At 35.3% G+C, this 20,176-nt stretch overlaps 1 protein-coding gene across 9 annotated transcripts in view; it reads right to left on the reverse strand.

Annotated features, from left to right (window-relative positions):
- The window catches only part of MYSM1 (Myb like, SWIRM and MPN domains 1), a 45,320-nt gene continuing 26,955 nt past the window's right edge, over positions 1,812–20,176 (reverse strand). For 6 of the 9 annotated variants that reach the window (NM_001085487.3, XM_011540573.4, XM_047443719.1 and 3 more), the window contains 9 exons: positions 18,939–19,027; positions 16,053–16,107; positions 15,701–15,751; positions 14,916–14,990; positions 14,107–14,295; positions 12,568–12,700; positions 8,475–8,580; positions 8,239–8,296; positions 1,812–7,224 (listed from right to left, as the gene is read on the reverse strand). In NM_001085487.3, the coding sequence (NP_001078956.1) occupies positions 7,066–7,224; positions 8,239–8,296; positions 8,475–8,580; positions 12,568–12,700; positions 14,107–14,295; positions 14,916–14,990; positions 15,701–15,751; positions 16,053–16,107; positions 18,939–19,027 (915 nt within the window). In that variant the 3' untranslated portion in view covers positions 1,812–7,065. Of the gene's footprint in view, positions 7,225–8,238; positions 8,297–8,474; positions 8,581–10,518; positions 10,592–12,567; positions 12,701–14,106; positions 14,296–14,915; positions 14,991–15,498; positions 15,636–15,700; positions 15,752–16,052; positions 16,108–18,938; positions 19,028–20,176 lie in introns of those variants that run through there. The other 3 variants (XM_006710314.4, XR_946533.3, XM_047443720.1) reach the window with 3 other exon arrangements.

The raw sequence follows: 20,176 nt of genomic DNA on the forward strand, positions 1-20,176 counted from the left end.
TAATTCCTTAGTCAACTGTTCCACAAAAATCATGTTCTGGGCATTGATAAGATCTTGCAGTTCTAAAAGAGACAATTACATTTTAAATTAAAACGTATTAACATTTGAATCTCACATAAAATACTAAGTAGTTCTTTATGAGATTGAAAAATAATGTGACATCACTCAAAAGGATGGTGCAGTAGCACTTGGGTTAGGTGGCAGAGCTGGGGTCTTTCTAGGGGCGATCTTGCTACAAACTTGGCTGTGACTTTGGGCAACTTGCTTCATTTTGGGGAACCTGTTTCCTATTAAAATATAGAACTGTAAGCCTGAACAATCCTTTTTCCAGCTTTAAAATTCTCTGAATTAAGGGAGATAGGTTATCCATTTTAATATAGAGCTCTGGTTTCAAAGAAATTTGATGTCAACTTTTCTTCATGAACATGGGGTCTCAAGTACAGTAGTTTAAAGGCCATGCAAAGACAAATTTATACTATTTTAGAAAATCAATCCAAGCCATCTGTAGCAGAGATAGCTAGTCATTAACAACGATTCATATTTCCTTTCCATAATGTAGAATTTTGCAGAAGTACCAGTCCAATCAGGACTCCATTTAGCGGCTCCCTTTGCATTCAGGTGGGAACGTATGTTTAGTTCTTCCCAAAGGAATAGCAAAAACCATATGTATTTCCAAGTAGTTAAGTACCAGGTGCGTAACCCTCCACTCTTCCTCGTTCCCCTTGTCCTCCAAGGGATAACACTAATGTGAAAGGAATCTATTGAAGATGAGCTGCCCAGGAGGGCCACCCAATCAGAAATACCTGCATTGGATTTACTATTTCTTGTACTTTGCCACCTAAATGATTATCATTTAGGTGCCTGAGTTCAAACTGGTTCTGTAACAAGACAGAATATGCCTGTACTACTCTAAGGAAAATTAGCTTATAGGAATAAAAATTTTTCTGCAGATACTAACAAAATTTAAAGGCTGCATAGTTGATCTAGCAACTAAGGTTCTATGACTCTTCTGAGAAGTATTAACTGTGTAAAAGAAAAAATATATTTTTAATAGAAAAATGGAAACAACCTGAAGTTCAACTGAAAACAGATCAAATCAATTAAGACAAATATATACTGCAGAATACTATGTACTTACTGTAAAGGATGAATAGACTTTAGGCACCAACATGGAAAGATGTCCTCAATGAGAATTATAGAAGTTAAAGATATACAGTATGATTCTGTTGGGTTTTTAAAAAAAATTTGTAGGTTTTGCATAAAGACTGGAAAGTTGATGATCAATAAATGAGGGAATACTGCTTTTAAGGTAGATTTTCACTTCCTTTACACCTTCTACAGCCTTTAGTTGACAGAATGTGTATTGCTTTCATAATGAACATCTTCATATACTCTACCCTTTAACCAAAACTCTCGCCATTCTCACTCCTTACCTCCACACCTATGCTAAACACCTCTCTGGAGCATCCTCCCACAAATGCTATTTAACCAAATCTGATTAGGCGGCTTCTCTTCCCCAGAAATTGATCTCACTGCTCATATTCCAGAGAATTTTCTCTCATTTGTTTAACCATCCATTACCCTGGAAGTCTTTTTGCATCTCAGTGTCTTAGCTATTCATGTTGGGCTTTATCTGTTTTCCCACTTACAAGGCTTCTTGTGGGAAGAAATTAAGATTTCCTCATCTTTGCTTCCCCTACAGTGTTCTATATAACAGATGCTCAACAAATCTTTGATAAATTAAAATGTGGCATTTTTTTGCAATTCAATGTGTATATTGCTAATAATTTAGAAATAATCCAAATGATCACTTTATTTTCAAAATTTTATTTTTATGGAATTTTCAGCATGTTTAAACTTAATTTTTAGAACAAAATCCAAAAGCTTAAAATCAGATATCTTATAATGTGTCACAATTAAGTATGGAGAGTTCTGTCATTTTTGAGGAAAATCTTTCATAATTCTTAAAATGCAGGTATTTACAACATTTTTAAATACAGACATATACAACATGGCATATTTAAATGTACAAAATAGTTGAAATTACATTTTATCACAGAACATTCCAAAATTCAAACTAATTTTTAAAAGTCCACAAACACTGATAGCATTTGGAAAAAAATAGCAACAAGTTTATCAATAACCATGCCATATGTTTAGTAACTAACTTACTTATACACAACACATAATTTACATGTCAAATCCACAAATCTAAAAGATATATGACTAATCTATTTAACTCACGCTAGAATCTAAATACTATTTTATAATTCATAGGTTTAAATACATGTTTCACAGTAATCTATGAAACAGGAATATAAACTATGAAAACATATTTAACTGACTTCTTAAGAGACGAGGAAATGTCAAAAATAGCAAATCAGGCATTTTTTTCCCCTGAAATTAAAGTTCTTATGAATACCTTCATAAACACCAAAGGAAGAAAATAAAAACAACTCAGATACTACAACTTAATTTTTACCTTCTCAAACTTCTGTTTAGAGCTCTTGGCATAATCACAGCTCCCCTGGGATATTTTTATTTTTTCCTGATTTAGTGGAGGCAACTATTTATTCCCTCCCTTGTTCCAGGAAAAATGTAAGGTGGCTTAGAAGATAGACTCAGAATATACTAGAAAGTATAATTATAGGTTAAATAAAAAAGAAAATAGAGAAAGCAGAATTTGGGGGAATAGCACATGAAGCCATTTAAGAAAAGGTCAGGAAATATATCCTAAAGTATATTACATTATTCTCCCACAGTGATTTTCTGGAAATATTGCAAAATACATTAATTTGTAAGAAAACTAATATTAAAGTACTGGTAAACTAGAGATGCTGATCAAATTTGTTAAATTATTTATTTACCCTGATGAAGCAGATGATTATAAAAATGTGTGTGCTTTTCTTTGTGCTTGGATAAAAGAAGTTTTCCTAAATACCATATATTGGTAGAGTATAGGTGAAAAAAAAAATAAAATTTGGGCACCCTTACTGAATTTCTACTGAGAATTCCATCAACTGCTGTCTGCTGACTTGCGACTGGATGGCTTCAACTCAGGTGCTCATGTGTTACATGGCTGTTTTGTGAGCACAAAACAGAGCAACATCAATTCCAGGGCATCCTGACTATTGGTTCCTCCAGCTCACCTCATCAGGACCCAGGAAGAGAAATGGGAGGAAGGTAATGCAGAGGAGACCTGCTCAGGTTGGCATGTTGAAGCCACAGTCTCCTCTGTTGGGTTGAGAGCTGCAGAGGTTCTGACTGTGCTTACAGTCTGCATGTCACAGACCTCAACCCCACTCCTAGGGGCAGGGAAGGAATGGTATGGACAGAAGACTGGGAGCAGCATTAAATAGCTTCATGGAAACATGCATGGTCTGTCCATCTCTATTTTACAGGCCTAGCTTTCAACAAATAATAGAAAGAAGGGTCTTGTATTTATATGCTGAGAAGTAAGAATGCAGGGAGTGATGATGAAGGAAAGGGTTTGTGGGAAATGGAGAGGAAAGAAAGGTAGTAGGATGTTTCCCTTTCAAGTGTGGCACGAGTTTCAAAACTACAGATTAGGGACTGACCAAAACAAAAATATCTGAAGACTAAAACAAACCACTGCCTCCTATCTTTTTTGAGGATGAATGGTCCCAAGTAATCCTTGTGAGTTTTCGTTAGGTTGGGAAGGAAGTAAGTTCAAGTCTATAGATCTATAACCGTGGAAACTGCAGTGCTCCTGGATGGAGTGGCAAAGGCTTCTCCAAGGACTGTGGTGGTGGGAGAAGGGGACAGAATAATGACTGCTATTTTTCCAATGATGCCCTTCAGAATACAGGCAATGCCAACTTATCCATTAGGCACAGTACCTAAGGCCCACAGTTTTTTAGAAGCCCACAAAAATGTTTTAATTTTTTTTAGCCTCATAAGAAAAAACTGAACTTCTAAACAAAATGTTTTAATCTAAAATATTAATACATTCATTTCATACAGATACAATTGTAAAATATCACTTTTAATTTTGTATGGAAGAAGGGGTCTAAGATGGCAAAACTATCTAGGGCCCACAAGAATCATAATGCAGCTCTGAATACAGGGTCAAACAAACTGTAACTGAAGCAATGTAACTTGAACTGGAAACTGAAGATAATTTAAAAGGATTAGAGAAGAATGGTCAAGGCTAAAATAATGGAGATGGAGAGTCTGAGCTTACTGATCCTGTTCCACTGGTTTTTCTTTTCTTGAATGTTACTTTGGAATTAGATTAAGTCTAATACTGGGGAAGCGCTAGTGTCGATTTCCATTAGCCAAGCCAGAAAAAAAAAAAAATTAGGTCATTATTTTATAGTCATTGTGCAATAACAAAGACAGAATCAGGATGAAGACACCTGCATGTCTTTAAGTCCTTTAGTCCTTTCTCCACTTCTGTAAACATTATTAAAGGCAGGTGTTCCTTTGAGACTCTGCCTCCTGAACTTCCTGTATCATAGGCCCCCTCAGTTCTAGACTTCCTCTGTGCTTCTACAAGGCCCTGGCTCCATTATCCTCGGTAGTAGCCCAAGGCTGGTAGTGCCAGCAATGTGGGTACCTGTGGTTGCAAAATTGTTTTAAGAATATGACAAAAGAAAAAGGAAGCAGGGAAAATGATGGAGGAAGAGAGAAAGAAGTAACCAAGTTTAACATACTAAAATTATACTGTCAAAAAAATGGGGAAGGATTTATATACTAATTGTGTTTTTTTAAATAGTAGCACTGAGATATTTGTACTTCACACTTCTCTGTATTTTAAAATATACTTTACAAGACAAATGTACTCTATAGTCAGAAAATACTAAGTATTATTTTGAAAACTGTGCTCTCAAGGCCCCAAACTCTTGACAAGTATCATCCTTGAGATCCTCGCAATATGGCTTAGATTAGCAAATATGGTTAAACATTGGCACACAGGGCAAGGAGACTCAGATTTGAGAGCAGAACTTTTAACAATTTCCATTACTTTCCATCACCCAAATTCATCAGTATTATAGGGAAATGTCAATCAAGAAAGCTAGTATAAAACACTTTTTAGTATTTGTTCCCCAATATATCATGAGGAAACAGGTCAAAAGGAAGATGAGTACAAAGGAATCAATCACTGCCTTTCACAGAATCACGCAACTTCGGAGCTTGGAAGGGAATACTAAGCCATAAAATTCAGGCCCTTGATTTACTGGTGAGGAGCATGGGGTCCAGGTTATGTGTTTTGATTAAGGTCACACAGCAAAGTTGGTAACAGAGTTAGGGTAAGAGCTCAGGTTTCCTGACTTTTGGTATAGTTCCTCTTACACTCTCAGCCCTCAAACTAATTGTTTTATAAGCTATACTTCACTGTTTATCCTAAGTGCACACAGAGAAATGGAAAAATACTACCCTTTTTTTTTTAAATGTATGTTAATTTGGAAACTGTATTAACTCAAAATATAAACTTCACAAGAGTAGTCCAACGATTAGAATGAACAATAAAATTTTAGTTCTGGAAGGACATTAAGAAGTTAAGTTAGACTTCAGTTACACAAGAATTAAGGCTCAGGGAAAGTAAACTGTATCTCCCCAAATCACAAAGTTGAGACAAGAACCAGGTCACCTAAAGCTGACTCACTGCTTCTTCCAATACTCCTTATTCTTCATTGGCTATTGATTACAAACAAAGCAAAATATAGAATCAATCTGATTTAGATATAAGGAAACGTTAGTAAGAATGTTTGGTGAATAGCTATAAATCAATTCTCTGACTACTAAGAAATAAACTAAAATCTACTGAATTTCAATAAATGAGGCAGCATTGACTGCTTATTTTATTTTAAAATTGGCTTAAATGCAGATCATAATTCTGAGTTTTGGTGTCATTTGAAGATGACGTAAAGCTTAACAAATGTAAAACAAAATTCTAATGTTTAAAATTCTCTAGATCAAGGGTTGGAGAATAATAGCCAACAGCCTATGTTTTATGAGGCCTGTGAGTTAACAATGGTTTTTATCATTTTAAAGGGCTGTAAAACACACACACACACACACACACACACACACACACACAAAGAAGAATGTCTCATAGACATCATATGTGGCCTGAAAAGCCAAAATTATTTACAAACTGGCCCTTTACATTAAAAAAGTTCACTGACCTCCATTATAGATTCAGAAAGCATATGAAACTGGGCTGAATATGTAACATGTCCTGAAAGGCTTGTTTTAAAAATTAAATCTCTGATTTATTCCAGCTTTATTATCATTTGCCTCTTTCTCCTAGTAGTAGGCAGTAGAAAAAAAGTTTGAGTTATGATTACCTATGTTCCAGTTAAATGAGGTTTTATCACACCTACTAATGTAAGTGGACTCACAATTGAAGCTAATTATTTTATGTGTGTAAAATTGGTTAAAAATTTTCAGATAGCTGAGAAAATGGCATATCTTATGATACTACTGCTATACAATGAAATGGAAGATAGTATCTATGATTAGAAACTGGTAATTTAGTTCTCTCCTTTGGGTTTTTCCTGTTTTTAAGATTTTCTTGTCATGCCTCTCCTGGTCTCCTGTTAGATTTATTAATCAGTAGTTCTAAACCATATTAATTATCTCAGTGACCACCCATCCATATCTCATTTATAGCCATAAACAAATCTCAGCAGAATATATGGAAAGAATGGAAGTGCTTTTAAATGAAATAGGAGATACCACAATGGAACATAAATGACTAGTTCAGGGAAGAAATGACTTAGAGACATAGTCCAAATCCCAAGCTGAACACAACAGTAAAGCCGACCAGGTTGCTTAGTTTCACAGCCTACAGCATTGCTCAGTAAAGGACTAGAACACCGTGGTGGACCCTGGTTTGCAGAACACTCTGATAATCACTATATGAAAACAAATTTGTATCTCTTCCTTTTCACATGATTTATGTGGCAAAGTTTGGATTTTGTGAAATAGAGAAAAAATACCAAAGCTGTGCCAATGTTAACTACAATCACTTCAAGTTTATAACTTTGAAAGTAAGATCTACTGTGTCAAGATTAAAATGTCTTAACTTTAAAATAATCACATTAACAATTCCTTTGTACAGTTCTCTTCGGTTACTCCATTCTCTTGGTTGCTTTTATAATTGGAAAGGAACAAATTTTCTATTTCAGTCAAGAATTCTTCAGCCATAAAGCAATTGGTCACTTTGCTCAGAGTCTTCCTCATACACTCCAAAAGCTAGTTGAAAAGAAAAGTTTTATATTTAAATACAGAAAAAGTATGAGGGTTTGCATTACTATCACTATTTCGTCCCTTTCCAGACCTCACATTTCCTAATGCTCAAATGAGAAACACTCTCCTTAAAAATGGTTGAAGATTAACTTGTGTTTAATAGTCACAGAGCTGGAATGTAGGAAATTGCTGCTGAGGAACACTCAGCTTAGTACTTTTATGATTTTACATAAGGAGACAAACCTGAGATTGTTTATGTGATGCTTTCTACTTCGGACGTATTTGCGACTTTTCTCCATTTGTAGTTACACTTACAAAGCAAAATAATCCTGAGTATACACACACACAAAAATCTAGGTACATAAAAACATAGGATTCTGCATTTCAAAATGAGGATGCTAGCTGGAGTCTATTTCCTTGGAAATGTGCACATACTTTTTCAACAACACACAAAAAACTGGATATAACAGAAAGGAGTAAAACATATTAAAAAGAAACTTAATGTTTAAATTTTCTATCCCCAATTGCTATTTAAAAAGACAAATGTTGCAGATCTACTAGCCTTCAATCATTACAGAAGCAAAACCTAGACGTGAACTGACAGAATTCAAAACTCTTATTTCCTATTAGAAAGTTAAATAAAATGACTATTTAAATTTAATTGTTAGATTTATACCATCATTCTTAAAAATGACCAATTGTTAAGGCTAAAATGGAAACATGGCACTTTCAAATTTAATAAAATAAGAAAAATGTTCTCCATTGTGTATAATAATAATCTGCTAAAATCAGCCAACACTGACAAATTTATTCTAAAATAGAATTTTTTCTATGTGCAAGCTTGGGCAACAAAAAACGTTACTAATTATCTCCTAGAAATTAATTTTCCAAAGGAAAAAGTAATAAAAGAAATATACAGAAAATTATCCACAAAGTATTAGGCATCATGGGAAAACACATTGAGATGAATAGCTTCAGAATCTGTGAACAATGGAACCAATTAAAATGAAGACAGCTTACTTTCTGCAAACAAGTCAGGTCAGAATCCCGGCGAAAGATTTTATCCATGGGGACGCTGCTGTAGGAAGAAATATGAAAACAAACTGGTGAAACGAATACTATAAACTAATCAGTTTCATAATAAACTATCACGGATGCCATACATCACAATTTTATATTTAACTTGGGTTTTCTCTGAAACATAATTTAATGAGCAACACTGCAGATGTGCAACCATCTCAAACCACAGTACATACCTATGGGAGAGCCTGTATTTTTCTATTATCCATCTTGTCTTTTCAAATACTAATCCCCACTGAGGTTCTTCTAACATCTGCTGTACTTCAAATTTGTAAGGTAAGCCTAGAAAAGCATAAAGAAGCACATTGTCATCAACTATTTCTTAACTCTCCAATCTCCTTTTAATTATACTTAAAATTCCCTTCGGTGTTTTTACAGCCATAGCTTTGCAGATCAGCTGAACAGCACTTTAAACATAGTGGGCATTCATTAAATATTTATTGCCCGATTGTACTTGGTCCACTAAGCATATTAATGCCAAGCTATTAATAATAATAATGAGTAAAAGTGCCATTTACATGACAATTCTACGCATGGCACTATGATGGGATGATCACGTAATTTATCACCTAAACCAAGAGACTTTTTGAATGAAAGAAGGTACTATTAATAATTATGCCTGAACCGCAGGTTTAAAGTGGGATTATCCTAGACAAACTAAGACATATTGCCATCCTAGTGATAATTAAAAATATATATATATACAGGTTATTAAGCTTACAACAATGCTGTAAGTTATTGTTTTTTTTTTAACAGGTGAGAAAACTGAAGCTGAGATACATTAAAAATCATATTTAGGCTAGCAAAGTGGCAGGACACAGATGTTAAAACCCAGCAGGTTTGCCTCACTTCTGAGCCCAAACTCATTCCACCTCCCTAGAAGAGCTAATCTAAGACTAGACAAGAGGATAGGATGAACTCTGGGGAGGCAGCAACTGCTTTGAGTCAAAGTTGTTATACTAAACTCTGGAGGAAAGAAAGAAGCCCAAGGGGTGAACATCATATATTCATCTAGAAAGGAAAAAATACCAAACGATGAGTTATCTTAGCAATTTTTCACATATCCTTCAAGACCCCCATGCAAATGCATCTATAGCATTTTTTTAAAAGCTCAGCTGATTCACTAGCAAAGGCTGATACCATCATAGTAACACTTATAATGCATACTATGTGCCACCTAAAACTTAATGTGAAATCACTTAAATGAAGTAGCTGCCATTATTCACCCCCCCCTTTTTTTTTTTTCGATGAGGACACTACGTCATAGAAAGGTTAACCTGCTCATGATCAGATATAAAAGGCATTGGCAGGATTTGAACCCAGGCAGTCAGGCTCGAGAGTTCTGCTTTTAACTTATACATAATACTGCCTCAACTGGGTTTCTACCATGGTAAGGAATAAATAAAATGCCAGCAAATCAGAAGGCATGGAAAAAAAAAAGGGGAAAAATACAATTATTTCCTCACAATGAAATAAAGCATAGCTTAAATGTCAATATGCTCTAAAAAGGCATTTTTTCAGGTGTTTGGAAGGAAAGGGGACAGCAAGCCTGATGATGATGACTGATCTTTTTTATTTAATTGCTCAATTTTCCTCTTCTCCAAAAACTTAAGAAGAGTGACACACTATAGTACACGGGGTATTAAGCAAACTCCTTATGGTGATAACAGTCATTTACTTGACATGCTTTGATTACTTACTAAACATGGATACCATCTATATAATGATAACCACCCACTGAAAACCTATTATTTGCTAAACACTTTACATATATTACTGACACACCTTACAACCATATACCTACTGTAAGCAAGGTAGTAATTTTTTCTCATTTTACAGATGTAGCAAAGGAGAATGAGGGAGTAGACTGCCCAAGGTAAAATAAGCAATAAATGTCAGAGCTGGGATCTGAATCCAGTAGAGTGACTCCTACTCTCAATGAAAGTTGAAGATGAAAATAAAGAGAGGTAAATAATGCATTTTCAATCTATGCTGATGCAAAAACATGAAAACATACACACAAATTATATACAGGTCTATTTGGTATTTTTAAGAATATTTTTTAAGTTAAAAAAGGTACTTTTAAAGTCAATAAGTTTCTTTTATAGAGAATATTTTTATCCACTAAAATATCAGAAGAAAACTGATCACTAAATATATTTCCTGCCTGTCACAAGTAAAGAAAACATTAAACCATTAGAGATATTGTAAAGATATGACCTGAGTTAAAAGTACTGTAGCACAAGGTATCCCATGGCTTCTAGAAAACCTTAATTCTTGCACCAGAGGATTTCTAAGGGCAAAGCAAAAGACCTAGGATTAAGATCTAATACGCAGTGTTAAGCATGGACAAGTCATTTACAAGACAGCTCTGTCCAATGGTAGCTCATGGGAGCATCATGGATAGTTCCCTCTAATGCTTTCAAGTAGTTCTTTCCCATCTGGGCTAGTTTATTCACATACATGTGCTGATCTGTACTTTGCTAAATACTCCAGGGATACTCTTCTACAAATCTCCAGAGTTCACTCTCCATTCTGCTTTCTGTTCTCTTGGGGCTCTGTCTCACAAACTCAGCTGTCTTGGTCTCCTTATCTCCATCACCTTAATTGAGTCGGCCTGGCTCTGGGTGGGTTTCTCCTTCTTGTGCCATATCTGAAAACCCTCTTAAGCAGTAAGCTAGGGTAATGTGGGGCTCTTTTCATTTGTTTCCCATCTCTTAGCAATCGTATTCCTTTGCTGCTAAATGTTGTGTTTAAATACCATTATTTTACATATTTTGTCCAGTTTTTTGGTAGTTTCAGACAAGTTCTTTTTACTTCATTTTGGCCAGAGTAGAATTCCATGAACTAAATTTTAAATTTCATGTAATTCTAATCAACTTACATTTAAAGTCACACGTACTGCTATTGTACTGGATAGCATCAGAATTGAGGTTCATTACCAAAACCTAGCAGTCTGTGAGATTATAAAATCAAGTCAGATGATGATTTAAAGATGGTTTAAAAATGATTTAAAGAGAACAAGTTAATTGCGATTCTTTTTATAAAACTGTACTGAGCTAAAGAATAATATGTATTATGTGCTATGCTCAAAATGGACATTCCAGACTAAAAGCTAATACCAATATTATTAATTCAGTAAAAACCCATAGTGTTGACCACCTCCTAGATGCAAAGCAATTTATTAGGTGCTACTTGAGAAAAAAGACAAATAAGACACAGTCCCTGCTCTTTGGGCATACAATTTATTAGGACTTGCTAAATAGATAAATTGCATTAAAAGACAAAGTGACCATGAAGGCAGGAATAAAGTGTTGCAGATACATAAAGAATAAAGCAACTAATAGTAAATAACATGGGGGCAGTGCTGGTAAATCTACATCAAATATAGGGCATCCAAGAGAGATCATTAAGAATGAAGAGAAATTAATTATTAAACAAATATTCATTTAGTATCTACTTTATGCCAGGCCTCATGCTAGAAACAGGATAGAAAAAATGGGTACAATACAGTATTTATTCTCAAAGAGCTCATAATCTAATGGGGAAGAGTACAATGTGGGGTAACTGTAGTGGCAGTGTCCAGGGGACCTGACCTATAGCAGTGGTAGTAATGACAGAATAAATATCCTAGAGTTATTTAGCCTACTGTTTCCTCTGATTATTTGCTTTCTAGCCACACTCCCTTCCTTTTCCTAGTCTGCTATACTAACTCCCTATCCGCCCAGAAATGTTTGGACTACAAGTGGACATAAACCTCAGGGGAATCAAGTCAGATGATGGTCTATGCCAACCAAATTCTTTCCTGAGATAGAATGGGAACAAAGAGAGATACAAATTGAGTTAGTCATTGTTAACCCTAAACCGGGAGGTGACAGAGAGCTGGTGGTCATTTTTTTTTTCATTTGCATGCCATCACAGAGAAAGCCAGTCTGCATTTATAAAAAAATTTTCATGAGAACAGAGACTGTTTTGTTTACTGCAACATCTCCAGTGCCTAGCATACACACTGCCTGGCCATAACTTTTCTCCATATTTCAATCCTTTTGCCCAGTGGCCATGGTAACAAAAGTGGGGACTTGAATATAGCAGGAGATTAAGAAACGGAAGAGGGTGGCTGCACTAGGGTGGCACCCAAATAATGATTCCCTAGTTGAGGGCACAAACTCTTGCATTAAATAATTTTAAACAGTTGCAAATCTTTTGATTTGTATGAGTCAAAGAAATAAGAGTAGAAAGAGGATAAAGTTATTTTTGTTGAAAACTTACGATAAGAGCCATCTGGGCTAATTTCCTCACTTATAACCAGGCAGGTAATCTGAGAATATGGTAAGGGATTATTTCGATTATAGGGACTAACAATCATCCCAATGAACTTTGCACCTCCTCTGGAGAAGTAACTCTACAATGACAAGAAAAATATAATTAGTTTCAACTATATAAATTCAAAAGCCAATATTTATCCATACTAACATTTTAAACATCTAATGGGGAAAAGCAGGAACAAAAAGGTGCATTAAAAAGTTCACATCTGGCCCGGCACAGTGGCCCACGCCTGTAATCCCAGCACTTTGGGAGACTGAGGCAGGCGGACTGCTTGAGGTCAGGTCAGCCTGATCAGGCTTGAGACCAGCCTGGCCAACATGGTGAAACCCCGTCTCTACCAAAAATAAAAAAATTAGCCAGGTGTAGTGGCACGTGCCTGTAACCCCAGCTACTCAGGAGGCTGAGGCAGCAGAATCCCTTAAACCTGGGAGACAGAGGTTGCAGTGAGTCGAGATCCCACCACTGCACTCTAGCCTGGGTGACAGAGTAAGACTATGTCTCTAAAAAAAAAAAAAGTTCACATCCAAACTGCAACTAAATCAAATGCCTTAGATATTCATCTCACACGGTACATTTTTCAGGCAAAAATGTGTTCAACCAAATCCAAAATGACCCTTAAAAATATAAAATGGCCTACACAATCTGTATTTGCCATGAATATATTTACTAATTGTATTCACCACCCTACATCTGTAATTCTTATCAATACAGTAATAATTTACAAATACCCTACAGCAAACCCAGTCACATATCAAGTGTAAAATCCCAGAATAAAACTTTTTCTTCAGCTATAAAAAATACATTATGTTTCTTATTACTTCAGTTGTATCTAGTCCCTGTCCTAGTTGTTCCCATCAATTTTTAAAGGCTCTGGGAGTATTTACCAGTGATACATTCATGGCTTGTTTGTACTTAATAAAATAACTGACTTTCTAAATGTTTACATAAACAATTATCAATCTTGCAATCAGAAAAAAAAATGCATGTTCTTTTAAAACCCCCAGTATATGTATTTTTTTTCTTTTTTTTTTTTTTGGCTGGGTGTGGTGGCTCATGCCTATAATCCCAGCACTTTTGGAGGCCGAGGCGGGCCAATCACCTGAGGTCAGGAGTTTGAGACCAGCCTGGCTAACATGGTGAAACCCTGTTTCTACTCAAACTACAAAAAATTAGCTAGGCGTGGTGGTGCACGCCTGTAATCCCAGCTACTTGGGAGGCTGAGGCAGGAGAATCACTTGAACCTAAGAGGCAGAGGTTGCAGTGAGCCAAGATCGTGCCATTGCACTCCAGCTTGGGCAACAAGAGCGAAACTCTGTCTCAAAAAAAAAATAATAATAAAAATAAATAAAAATAAACAAACAAAATCCCCAGTATAAAGAATATTAGAAATGTAATATGAAAAATGTTTAAAGTTTATCTATTTAAAAGGGAGCATTGAGGGGGTGTGCAACCATTTACAGAATATAAATATACATGTAATACCTGGTATTTAGCTTGTGTGTCAATATCTCGTAAGGAAGGATTAGGATCAAAAGCAGGATGAGAATGATACCATCCAATAACACTGAAGCCTCTAACAGCCAAGGTTTCTGAGGCCTGTGTTTGTGATACAGGATCCATCTCACACTGTAGTCCTGTACTCAGACTGTTACATGGTTCTGCTGCACAGACCTATAAACGATTGATCCTCAAATGATTATACTAAAATCCTGTTAATTCTATTACTCTAATGTTATAATTCTTTCAAAGATACGGAAACTTTTCAAGGCCAAGACTTTTATTTAACAATACCACAGTTGCCTTTAACTTGCAAATGACTTAAACTCCAAAAGTCTGATTATATGCTAGGAACTTAGCATGCATTTTTCTACTCAAACAAGGTCATAATAATGGTTAGTTTTCCAGGTCAGCCCACATAATACCTGTACAAAGGTATTCTTTCAATGACTCCTGTTACTTATGACAATAATTTCAACAGAATGATGCATACAAACTTTCAACTAAAGTGTTAGTACCTGTTTCTGGCCTCTTAGAAGTTGTAGCTTTTTACTAATAAAGGTAATGAGGACCCAAGGCCTGGCAATGTTCTCTCGGTGGTAAAAAGAAACAGGCGCTAGGCATATAGAATGTTAAGTCACTTCTGGGAATATATAACTTGCTACATTTGCATATTCTCATATATATCATAGGTAAAGTCTGTATTTTAATTATATTAACTGAATTCTATAAAAATATTTGGTATGGTAGTAGGACTAAATAACTAAAACATTTTTTTAAAAGAGAGAACTTACTTCAACTACTTTATCAACTTCTGAGTATCTTCCTCCTAACAGACCAATCACTTCTGCCATAGAAACATGAGCATGCTAAAAGAAATACAAGACAGACTTAGCCCAAACGCACAAACCCACCTGACAAAGTAACAAAACTCACTTATCATAAGAAAGTCATTTGTAAGTATAGCCATCATGCTTTTATAAAATAAAGTAGCATAGGAGAGGAACTAGATGCTAGGATCAGTGCACAGAAACTAAGATTTCAGGTCTATCTTCACTGCTGGCTGAGAAGCTTTCAACCAAACACTTAAAAATTCTCAGACTCTACTTTTGCAATTACAAAATGAAGATACCATTTACTCTCCCTACTCAAGGGAGGTATTATGTAAGGATACAAAGTAAAAATCACTCTAAATCCTTCTACACAAAGACATCACAAACACAAAAACTGTTGGAGGTATCGGTAGTTTAGTAAAAACAAAAAAACCCTCCAAATTACAGGAGTTGTGCTTTGTTTCAGTGATCTAAAAAGTGGCAGACACATATATTAGAAACTTAAAATAGGGTTAATGATGGTAAACAGTCTGCAAAAACTCACATTAATTTATTTTCTCTAAAATATGGAAACATGCAATTGTTTGGCTTTTCTCCAAAAGAAAAGACTTATTTTTAGATTCCTTGTAAAAGAGGACAGTTAAGATCCAAAATACACGTCTTCCATACTCTGTCTTACGCCTGCAATAAAAATACACAAGAGTAGAAATCAGAATAACTAAGTAAACACAATAGATTATCCTTACCAAATCCATTATTAAAAGTGCTTCTGAAGCCACTTTCACCTGAAATGGCTCCTGAAATATAAAAAACAAAACAAAACGGGGGAGCATAAAAATAGAGATTTTTGTTTTCCCCACCTGGAATGCCCACCCTGTTCTCCTTTATCCACCCCACCAAGTTCTCAGCACTAACCAAAGCTCAGCACAAACTAGACTTTTAAAACATTATGATTTAAAATTCCAGCAGGGAGAAATTCTCTCTCATTTTCAGTCTTTTTATACATATGCCTTGCACATACGGAAAAAGAGTAAGCATTTCCTGTTTGACGGGGAAGCGGGGATTGTCTACTGTCATTCATTAATGCATAAATAGTACCTGCTTTTCTTCACTAAAAAAATTACAAGGTATCAGTTGGAAGGGATCAAACGAGCTGAAAAAGAAAAAAAATTTTCAATACAATCTCAACAAGATTAGGAAAATAACATTTATTTGTAAATCTGAAAGTGTATATCAATAATCTAAACCCAAATTCTGTCTAAATGAGAGAGTTTTGTAGGAAATTCCATAAACCCTTTCGAAAGAAGCACTGTTCTTTTAGATTTAACAAGAACAAAAAAAAAACCCAGGAACTTTGAGATAAAGTTGCTCTGTTGTCTTAATTTCCTTTAACACTCAAAGAGGACACTATAAACTATCAGACATATGTCCCACACTAAAAGCAGATTTCAAAAAGTCCAATGAAAATATAATTAACTGTCATGAGACCCAAAAAAAGGTTCAAGAAAGATGGAAGTTTATCAAAAACACTTGTCAGTTCAATAATGTGCCCACTATAGAATAGGAACTTAAAACATTTTTTGAATGAATGAATGACAAACAGTTCTGGTAAAGATATTAATGTATTACTCCTATCATAAACTCTTCAAGTGAAAAAGTGGCCAGGTGCAGTGGCTCACATCTGTAATTCCAACACTTCAGGAGGCCGAGGTGGGCAGACCCCTTGAGCCTAGGAGTTTGAGACCAGCCTGGATAACATGGTGAAACCCCACCCCTACAAAAGAATTTCAAAACTAGCTGAGCGTGGTGGCGTGTGCCTGTAGTCCCAGCCACTCGGGAGGCTGAGGTGGGAGGATCACTTAAGCCCAGGAGGTGGAGGCTGCAGTGAGCCATGATTTCACCACTCTACTACTCCACTCCAGCCTGGGTGACAGAGTGAGACCCTGTCTCCAAAAAAAAAAAAAAAAAAAAAAAAAACAAAAAAGTGAAAAAGTAAAAAGAGGTGAAAAAGAGAGAACCTAAGCAAGGTCAAAAGCACACATAAATCTCAGAAATGTCAGTAAAGAATTGAGGCTTGAGAACTATATTAAGAACAATAAAAAGGTTTTTTAGGCTATCTTCAGGGAAAGAAAAACACACAGGAATACATTCGCATTAACACAACTGGAAGAGAGCAGGGCAATTCCATTTCCATTCAACCATAGATGGTTAGCTTCAAGAGAACATTTTGTTTTGCTTAATAATGTATCCCAAGTGATCAGAACCGTGCCTGACATATACAGTACACATTCAAAGATACTTGTTGAATAAAGAAAGACCTTTAAATTAGAAAGTGTTTAATCAACACAAAAAGAAACTGAAGGCCAAGATAGATGAGAAAATAGCACAGAAAGAACATCCTGGAGTACTTAAGAACCACGGATATGGAACCGCTGTCAGTGTTTGTTGAGGAACTGCAGAGAATGGGAAAGTTGCTGAAGGACTAGAAATAGACAATTATTGAGCTTGTTTCACAATACAAAAAAGCAGACTGCAGAAAAGGAGGAACTAGATGTTGAACAGTAGTAAAATTCTAGAAAAAATTATGAAACAGCTGATTTGTGATCCTTAACCAAGTGAAGAGGTGACTAAGTAAAATAATGAGTTCATGAAAAGTCATGATAAGTAGACCTTATTGTAGACACTATTGATAGGAATAATCTGTTAGAAACTAAAGACTTAAATATATTTTATCTGAAATTAAACAAGACATCCGATATGATTATCCTTCTGTATAAGATGAAGATATATGCGTTAATTGTGGTAATCTATATAGCTGATTGAAGAATGAATGTCTTCGTTGTTTAAATATATACAATGAGGTTTACATTTATTCAATTAAACATTGCAATCAGTGAGTAATGGCAGGAAAGGCAAGCTTATTGAAATGTTAATGATACAGTGCTACAAAGGCTAAAATGAGAAAAGTGGATCTGGATTCAAAAAGATCCTGAAGACCTTGAACAATGACTTGAAAATCACAATAAATATAAGTCTCACATTTAGAGTCAGAAAATCAATTATCTGGATACTGGATGAGGAGTCCTAGCTTATGGAGGACTATTTTTTACATAGTTTATCTAATTCAGTCTCACGACAACTGTGTAAGTTTTATTTTTACTTTAGAGAGGTAATATATACTGTAATGATTAGGGGTATGAACTCTTAAGCTTAACACTTGGGTTTAAAATCAACAGCTCCACTACTTGACAGCGTGAGCAAGTTATTAAACCTCTCTATGCCTCTCAGTTTCCTCATCTATAAAATGGGAGTGAGAACATTAACTAATGCACAGGGTTGTCATGAAGACTATATGAGCTAATAAATATAAAGTGCTTAAAATACAGCTAACAGTGTTATTTAAATTATTGTTTAATAAATGAGAACCTAAGGATTACCCGAGGACATTTATCAGGCAAAAATATGATCTAGTGGCATTCCTGGATATCTTCTTTTAAAAGGTACACTGACAAAACTACAGTCTATTCAATGGGGCATCTGCAGGAAGAGGGAATAGAAAATCGGAACATTTAACTTATTTGGTGACCCTTAATTTTAAAAGGCTCAAATTTTAGATTACACATGCATTAGAAAACAACAAACCATGCAACAACTTGCTAACAATTAGTACCACCCAAAGAAAACCCAGTCATTTCATGAAGGTTCCTGTCCATAGCGTCTAGAGTTGAATGACCAACCTGTCCTAAACAGGGCCCCTTTACAACATATGTTGGATCATATGTTCAATGAATCTGAACAAATTTAAAATGTTTGTTCAAGGTCTTCCAAATTCATAATCAGTGAAACAAAAAAAATCTAAAAAATTGTAGCAGTATTTTTTTAAACTTAATGTGAACAATATAATGCAGCTATTGAATATTTTTTCATATATTATCTAGCCATTTGTGATAAATGTTTAAAAACCACATTTATATAACACTACACCTTTTTGTTGGTCTTGGCACTTTTAAAGATTTAACAGGTCTGCCTTTTTCCTCTTCTCTTCTTTTTGCCAACTCCTCAGCAGAGAGATGCTAAAACAAAATGCCAATTGATTAAGGAGTCCATCATCTACTAAGAGGCAGAATAAAAATAGTCCTTTAAAATCAAATTGAAGGGCATGTGAGGACAAGAGAGACTAAATTGATATAGATGGGCTTCCTTTTTGCTACCAACATGTAGAAAGACTGGACAGTATTTTTAAAAAATTGTTTCAAAAGACACGGCCATCCCAAACTGAAAATTTACTCCTTCTCTTGATTTGCCCATTTCAATCAATGGTACCAGTCACCCAGGTTCAAAAACGTCAGAATCACCTGAGTCTTTTATTTCCCATTTCTACTTACCATATTCTACTGTGTTGAGTTTTCTTTCACAACTGAGAGACAGTGCAGAGTAATGATTAAGAACAGATTCTGGATCTAGAATGTCTGGCCCAGTTATTTACTAGCTTGGTGACCCTAGGCAAATTCTAAAGCTTTCATGCTTCAGTTACCTCATCTTTAAAAATGGGAACAATAAAATTAATAATAAAAAGTAAACAATAATACCACTGTCATGGTATTATTGTGAAGACTGAGTTAATGTTTATAAAATACTGACATTGTCTGACACACAGTAAGCCCTTTATAAGTGTTTATAAAATAAAGTAAATCTCTATTCCATTTCTACGACCAACTTACACCCTAGTCCAAATGAACTATGCACCTTTTCCAGAATATATCTAGTATTTTCCCATGTCTCCAGCTTTGTTCCCTCAGCCTAAAGTGTATTCATCTCCATTTTGAGATTCTTCTGCAGATCCTTCAGATCAGATTATACCCCACATACTCTACGAAACCTGCCCTGATCACAGCCTTTGGGAGAAACTTACAATTCTTGGGACCAACCTTATTGAACTTACCATAGGTTTTGTCTTTCCTATTAGAAATACAAGCCCCTTATGGGAAGGATGAATTACTAATTACTGTGCCTAGAATAGTACTCAGGTGAGAAGTTGAGGGCAGGGAATGCGGAGGAGGAAAGAGAACTCAAGTTTGAGTACTTTGTGCATGCAAGGCTTACTGAATACCTAGTACTAGCATCTTTATATAGTCTATCTCGTTTCTTTCTTACAACAATACTTTGAGGGAGGTATTATTATTATTCACAATTCGTAAGTTAAAAAAGCATGAGATTCTGTG

This window comes from Homo sapiens, chromosome 1 (assembly GCF_000001405.40).
Source record: "Homo sapiens chromosome 1, GRCh38.p14 Primary Assembly".
Taxonomy (NCBI): Eukaryota; Metazoa; Chordata; class Mammalia; order Primates; family Hominidae; genus Homo; species Homo sapiens.